At 36.5% G+C, this 8004-nt stretch overlaps 2 annotated features.

The window, feature by feature from the left end:
• Positions 3339–3847: an enhancer, noted in NCBI's record as "OCT4-NANOG hESC enhancer chr4:28684661-28685169 (GRCh37/hg19 assembly coordinates)". NCBI's record gives its function as "activates a minimal SCP1, AML or CMV promoter by ChIP-STARR-seq in naive and primed H9 embryonic stem cells {active_cell/tissue: H9 hESC(naive and primed)}" and the evidence as "EXISTENCE:reporter gene assay evidence [ECO:0000049][PMID:30033119]".
• Positions 3848–4357: an enhancer, noted in NCBI's record as "OCT4-NANOG hESC enhancer chr4:28684151-28684660 (GRCh37/hg19 assembly coordinates)". NCBI's record gives its function as "activates a minimal SCP1, AML or CMV promoter by ChIP-STARR-seq in naive and primed H9 embryonic stem cells {active_cell/tissue: H9 hESC(naive and primed)}" and the evidence as "EXISTENCE:reporter gene assay evidence [ECO:0000049][PMID:30033119]".

Here is an 8004-nt window from a genome sequence, read left to right as displayed (position 1 = left end):
TAGCCATTCTGGTGATCTCATTAAAGCTCTGCCTGCCAAGAGTGCCAGCATAGCCTTTCTGCCCCCTACTGGACAGGCTGCTGTTCATGTGGCAGAGCACGCATCTCCAGCACCTGGGCCACAAACATGTCCAGCAGCTCCATAGGGACCTTGCCTTCTGCTGGGCAGAGGCGCAAGATGAGGCTAGCTGCTAAAGCAGATAGAGCCCCTGCTTGGGAATGTTCATCCCAGAACAGTGGAACTGATGTTGTTCGTCATTCTTCCTTCCTGTTGGGAGGGCAGGGAGTGGCCTCAGACCCTTCTCAGCTAGAGCTACACTCTGACACATCCCCAATGAAATCAGTACCTGGGGTTACGCCTGTAACCCATTTAGGACAAACTTGAGGCCAATATTCCACTGACTAGGAGGCTCTATTTTATCAATACCTATTCCTAATAAAATACACTATGGAAGAAAATATACAAAAACATCATTAGCATACATCTTTATTTTAAAATGCCAGACACAATAAATCTCTGAAAGGACAATCTGTATTGGAGAAACTGGGTGGAAATTTTACAATTGGTCTGGGAATGGGGGAGCAATCAGTCAAATTCCAGTTGATTTTAGAAATTGTTTATGCAAAAAATAGTTCCTGGAAAAATGAGTATTTTTGTAGATTAGCCACCATAGTTTGGGCAATTTTCATTTTATCAAGTGATGTGAGAAAGAAGATTTAGGAGGTAAAGTGCTGTGTGAGAAGGTAGGGAAGAAAAGTAAGTTTTCCCTCAGCCCTCATAAGTTCTTAGTTGGAGTGGATCCCTGTAACAAAAGACAGATTAACAGGAGAAAAACAAAAGTTTATTAACATGTAGAGTTTTATATATACCTGAGTAATAACCAGTAAATCAGTAGTTCTCAATGATATGGCTTTGGGTTCTGGTTTATATAGTATCTTTAACAAAGAAAAGTACCATTTTAGAGAAGTCACGGGACAAAAGGAAAAGGACTTTTGAGTCTCTAAGGGCAGCAACTTGTGGAAAGGCAAATAGATAATAGATAAATGCTAGTTAGTAGAGCGTGTTAATGTAGATTCCCCTGGTGCCATCTCCAGCCCTGGATGGGTCTAAAGTGTTCTTCAGCGGTTAACCTTTGTTCTTTTGATAGAAAGGGGAGATGGGATCTTTTTTGTCTTTGTAAATTTCTGTCCTGTTTTTAGGCCAGTAGAAGGAGGGCAGAGAGCTTTCCAACATTTGCTTCATCTTAATTGCCTTCAGCTCAAGAATTCTTATGCCAAAAGGGAATATTTTGAGGTGGCACAGTTAGGTCCTTCTTCCACAAAAGGATGGAGAGAGATAGCTGGGAGGGCAAAGGTCATGTGAAAGCCACAGAAGAAAATTCTCAGTCCTTCAGGGTTTCTTACAGTACCACCGTAAGGACCTGAAAAATATATGTCAAAAGTTTTCACTTTTCTAGCTTTCTTAACTTTATAATTCCAAGGATCCGTTTTGGTAAGCTAAATCCGGAAAAAGAGGTGAAAAGAGAAATAAAGAAGAGAGAAAAATGGAAAGACTTAGTTGCTTATTTCTGCCATAAAATATAAAAAATAATGATTTATTTCCTTCGAGTCAATTATTTCCCTGTTATAACTTTATTTTTAATTTCACATTTTAATCTTTTATACTCTCTCCCCATGAAATAGCCTGAATGTTATTTAAGAATTATCCAAATAGAATTTGAGTAAAATAACATTACAGTTAGTGGAAATAATTCAGCCTTTTGAGTAAGCTGAATACAGTTTTGGTTCTGTCTGTATCACTTTTTAAAATATATTGTTGAACAAGTTAGACCTCAGAGTCCCCATTTTGAAAATTGCTTTTGTGGTTGAATCTGCAGATTAGAAGTGTAATATGCTTAAAACACACAAACAGGGTGCTAGCTTATAACAGGTTTATTAACATGTAGAGTTTTATATACACCTGAATGATAGCCAGTAAATCAGTAGTTCTGTAGGGATTTATTCCTCTCCCTTTTCTCCTTTTCCTTCCCCTTATCCTTTTGATTTGATAAGATCTTACCAGATACTAGGAAAGATACTAATTTTGAATAAAGCAAAAGATCACTTACCCATAAAAATACTCATACCTTTACCTTTAAGTTCCTCATCCTTTCTTGCCCTTACCCCTTCAGTAAAATCCAGGAATGTTTTTGTTTTTTCTTTTACCTGAATGGTATAGATACTTTTTTCATTTGTAGGAAAATGCAATGCTTATTAGAGTTAACTGGGAGAGAGGGGTCCATTCATCCACTCAACAGTTATTTATTAATCACCTAAACATTCAAGGCAGTGTTCTAGTAGTTGGGACTAATCAGTGAATGAAACCCTGTACTTAGGGAACTTATATTCTAGAAGGAAAAACACACCATAAGCAAGTAAGAGTATAATATAAAAATACATAGTGGTAAGTGCTATGGGGGAAAACACATCAGTGCATAAGATGGAGAGTGACAGATTTGGAGAGGGCTAGAACTGCTGATAAAGAAGTCTTAGGTGGTATTATTTGTGCCTATACTTGATGAAGTGAGCGAGGGACAACTGCGGTGTGAGCGGAGATTTTTAATGAAAAAATTATCCTGGCCGGGTGTGGTGGCTCACGCCTGTAATCCCAGCACTTTGGGAGGCCGAGGCGGGTGGATCACCTGAGGTCAGGAGTTCAAGACCAGCCTGACCAACATGGGGAAATGGTGTTTCTACTAAATACAAAAAATTAGCCTGGCGTGGTGGCGCATGCCTATAACCCCAGCTACTGGGGAGTCTGAGGCAGGAGAATCACTTGAACCCAGGAGGCAGAGGTTGCAGTGAGCTGAGATTGCACCCTTGTACTCCAGCCTGAGCAAGAAGAGCAAAACTCCGTCTCAACAACAACAACAACAAAGAAAAGGAAGAGAAAAGGAAAGAAAAAATTATCCATGACATTTGTTAAAACTGTAAGGCTGACTTTATTCAGCAGGGACTACTACAATGGTGTTTGGTAGTAGGGAAGAGAGATTTGGCTCAACTTTGAATCCAGTGAGGAAGAGTGGAGACTTATAGCCAAGGAGCAGAGTAGGGGGATCCATCAGTGGATGGAAAATTAGTAAGTAGGGTAATTCTTTGCTAAACCGATCTAACAGGATTTTTACTGGAGCTAGGTGAGGGTGGTCAGACCAAAGCTGCAGAATTTTCCCTAAACAGACTGTTATGATTCTTAATAAAACTGGAATAAGTGGGCCAAAACAGAGCCAAGTTCAGGGCTTAGTAAAAATAGAGGACTCAGAGGAGCCTGAATAGAGTTAGGTCAAGAAAAGACCATTTTTCATGAGGCAGCAGTGAATGAATATTTACTGTAATATAATATTACATTTTCCCATTCAAGATTTGTTTGTATTTTGGTAGATACACTCTACCTGGAGAATTCAGTATGCTGAGTCAATTAGTATGCTAACAAACATGCAAATAGATCAAACTTCATGAATTTAAAAAAGGAGTCTATCAAAATTATAAGCCATCCCTAAAAATCCTATTTAAGCTTTATTAAATATAAAATGAACCTCAATCAAGAAAACAAAAATCTGAAATAATTGCTGAGATATTAGAAATTTTGAGAATGTTTGTAGGAAGAAAAGGAAGGGGAGATTAGTTCGTAAAGAGCAAAAATGTCTTGCAATATGGTAATATGAAATATTTTAGGAGGAGGCAGCTGATCATTTTTCTTACTTCTCACTTTAACTATCCAATCAGCTAGTACTGAAATGCCCTGAATATGTGAAAGCTTCAATTCCTCCCAGATCTCTTTCCATTGTGTGGCTCAGCAGGTATCTTTTTAAAGGTAAAATGTTCTTAGTTGTCATTAACAATAGTGCAGATCTGTGACCACTGTGAGTGCTTCTTTTGTTCCCTCTGGAACTTTCTCTGACAGTTTTTCAATTCTCACTAGTAAAATTGAATCTATCTTTTCCAACTGTTCATCATTGGGTAATTGCATTCCTATTTGGGTAATTATCTCCTTAATGAGAAAATTGCATTTCTTCTCAATTTCTGCCATATTCCTGAGAACCAATTTATTTAGTTCAGTCATAGTAAAGGTCAACTACTAGAAATATTTACCCTTCCTTCTTAAATCTCTTATTAGTCTCACAGTAATTCAGCTGTATTTCTTATTATAACTAATCTCTTCCTTCTAAGAACACTAGATACAATCAAATCTATCTCTGATCAAATGCCTATTGTCTTTATTTTCAAATTCTAGAGAATCATTACTCTCTGAATAGTGACTGAACAGAAAACTTTTTTCCTTTGGTTCTGGGTTTAAAAAATTTGTTTTTATTTTAACCTTGAAATTAAGCATTCCTATTTAGTAATTTGATACATTGAAGTTAGAAATTGGATTTAAAATGATTGTGTCCTGTATTGCATTATTTGTACTTGCATTTGAGGACATAACTATTTTTCAAACAGGTAAACTGTGAGGAACATCAACAGAATTTTATGTGCCCTCAGAATTTTAAAACCTTTTATATAGTTTTTGACCACACAAAATGTAGTTATCATATACCATATCAATATATTTCTAATGAGGGTGTGTACCTTTTCATCAAAGTAATTCATTAAAACCAGTCAATTTTTGAGGAATATGATTCAACAATTTTGGGGTATATATAAAATGTTTGTAAACATTTTTAAAGATGGCACAACACTGAAGTATGTGTTTTCATTTTTAAATATCTTCTGTGATAAATATTAATGTCTCAGAATAAAGTATACACCATCTTAATTTTTGTAATGTAAAATAATAAAAATTAAGTTAAAATGTTATATAAATATATATATATTGCATACTACAATTATAAAGACAATGGTTTAAGTCCAATTCCTACCACTTTCTAGTTTTGTGGTCTTGGCAAGTTACAAAATTTCTTTGAAGTTTTAGTTTTGCACTTGTAAAACACATGCCAGCCTCATAGAATTATCAGAAGGACAAAATATAATAAATATATTTAAATTGAATACAGTGGTTGAGAGAGTGTGAACGTGATAAATTATATCTTGTTTATTCACTTATTCAACAAATATTTATTGACTGTCCATGCCTCCTAGGGATAAAATAGTAAATACATGCATACAGTGGCAAGCTTATCTAGGAGATAAGAATGAGGAGTATTACTGCTAGGTTGGAAGTTAAGCTTTAAATTGTTAAGGGCTTTAAAGTTTTAAGGGCTTTTACAGGAAAAGGTAATTGACATATTTAAGGGACAGTAAGGAGACCATGGTAGGTGGAGCCTGAGTAGGAGAAGACAAGCAGTAGTAACTAAAGTTTATTGAACACTTCCAATATACAAGGGATATTCTAGATGCTTTGTATTTATTAACTCACTCTTAAAAATCTCAGTGATCATTTTGTTATCCCCGTTAAAGAGCAGAGAGATTAAATAACACCTGGTAAGTGATGGAGCCGTCATTTGTACTTGCAGAGGTGAAAAGGACTTCTCTGTCTCTGAAAGTATAATAACTGAATCTGCTGAAATAAACTGATAATAGATTAATAGGAGAAAAGGCATACAGATTTATTACTTGCAAGCACATCATAGTCCTACAAAATACAAGATTCAAAGAAGATGGTTGAAGCTTAAATATCCTCTACATAAGAGACAGGGAAATGAAGAGTGTAAGCAATTTTAGAGAAGGGGTAAATGATTTTTAGAGGTGATCAATGCATCCAAATCACCCAGACCATAGCCTGGGAAAACGTTTTTCTGGGCTCCGGATGAGTATCAACTCTAGCCTTCTTTCTTGTGAGTTCATCTTTCCAGTTTGATGAGATTATAGGGAAGAGGCTCAAGACAATTGCATTCCTTCTGGAGGAACATAGTAACATTTCCTAGTCAGGTAAAAGAACTTCAGAGAAAGCTTCCTCCCTGCATTTGCTGCTCCCCAGGTTCTTTTGAAGTCAAAAGCAGCATATTTTGGGATATCATTTCCTGAGTCCACACAAACTAAGAAGTCAGCTCCTGAGACTATGTTCTGAATCACTGTATAATAGGAATGGAAACAGAGTTGTGAGGGTGGGGGAGGTCATTGCAAACATACAAGATTTTCCTTTGTGATTAAAAGCCACTTGAACATTGTGAGTAGAGAAGTATTATGATTTACCTTTAGTTTTAACAGGAGCACTTTCCTGTGTAGTTAAGAATGATCGTAGTGGCAAGTGCGGAAGCAGGGACAACAGTTAGGAAGCATTTGTAATAATAAAAACGAGCAATGGTGGTAGCTTGGATCAGAGTGATGGTGTTGATGAAATATGTTAAGAAATGGTTAGAATCTGCATACAGTGTGACATTAAACCCTATGGTATTTGCTGGCAGAATGATTGTGAGGTATGATATAGTATATTCAAGGATAGCCCTGTTGTCAACCTCAACAACTAGAAGGATGCAGTTGTCATTAACTGATATGGGAGGACGTGGTCTCAGGGTGAAGGTGAAAAGGATAGTTTCAGACATGCTGTATTTCAGATTCCTATTAGACATCCAAGTAGAAATATTGATCGCACCACTGGATACTCAAGTCTGTATTCTTTAGCATATAAATAATATGTGAAGTCATGAAATTGGATGAGATTACTACAAGAGGGAGTGTGGATCAAAAAGCCGAAAGGTCTAAGGGCACTTCTAGACTTTAGCAGCAGGAAGGTAAGAAAGACATAGCAATGAGATGAGAAAAGCTAGCTAGTGAAGTATATGAGAAACACAAAGATCGTGATATCATGCATGCCTACTGCAGTGTTCCTAGGAAGAAAGAGTGATTGTGGTAAACATTGCTGAAAGGTCCTGTAAAAGGGGCACTGAAATTTGGTCATTAGAATCAGCAACATGGGGGTCATTTATAACTCTGAGAATAGCAACATTTGTGGAAAGTTGGAGGCAAAGAAGAGAGAGACAAGGAGAGAGTGAGAAAGAGAGAAAGAAGGAACTAAAGACGATTTGAACAGACCACTATTCCAAGAAGATTTACTGTAATGAGGAGCAGAAATAGTGCACCTAGCTTCCCTGTTTGTCGTATATGAAATCAAGACACGTTGCTTTATTCTAAAGGTGGTAAAAATATATTTTTATGGTGATATGGATGATACAATAAAAGGGAAAAATTGATGATGCAGAAGGAAAGAGAAAATACCTAGGGAGATATCCTTATGCAGTTGAAAGCAGATGGGGTTTAATGTACCCATGGATGTGTTTCGCTTACAATCACAGGGAATTCATATACAGGAAGAAACAAAAAGAAATAGTACAATACCTGCTAATACGGAGAGATGAGAAGATGTGGTGGTGCGGGTGTATGGAATCAATGTTCTGATTGCTTCTATTTAGTATTTCCTCAGCATATAAGAGAAAAGAAAAATGTTATAGATGAATGTAAAGTAAGTAGAGAAAAGGAAAGCCTAAGAAAAAATATTATAATGGCCAAACAGCATTACTAGACCACTTGCAGTCAGTCGTCTTAAATTTAAAATAAGATCTGTTAACATTCACAGGATTTTATGTTTTTATATAGCTTTGTTCAGTTATAAGATCTATTACTTTCCATCAAAATTTCTTTCGTCATAATCAAGTTAAGCTGTGCATGTGTCTATCTATCTAGGAGTTGTATTTCAAAGGTTTATTTTTACCTAGGTGGAGTAACGTGACTACATGTGTACCTAGGGATGTGAGCAGAAGGATATGGGAAACTCCTCCTTCAATTGCTTAAAATAATACTGTTAACCTACATGTTCTCTCTTTCTAGATTATATAAATTGAGCCATGAGCATGCACATGATCCAGCTCCAATCAGGAAGGTGAGGACAAGGCCCTAGCTGTGGGGGGAAGAAAAAGAGAACCTAGATTCCTGAAAGTCTGCAACGAGTAGAGGAAGACATTGATGCTAAGGTAGACCATTCATCTTGATATCTTTAGTTGAAAAACAGTAAAACTTTCTCTCGTTGAAT

Source organism: Homo sapiens, chromosome 4 (assembly GCF_000001405.40).
Source record: "Homo sapiens chromosome 4, GRCh38.p14 Primary Assembly".
Classification (NCBI taxonomy): Eukaryota; Metazoa; Chordata; class Mammalia; order Primates; family Hominidae; genus Homo; species Homo sapiens.
The sequence above is the reverse complement of the archived record's forward strand: the minus strand, read 5'-3'. Positions and strand labels throughout refer to the sequence as shown.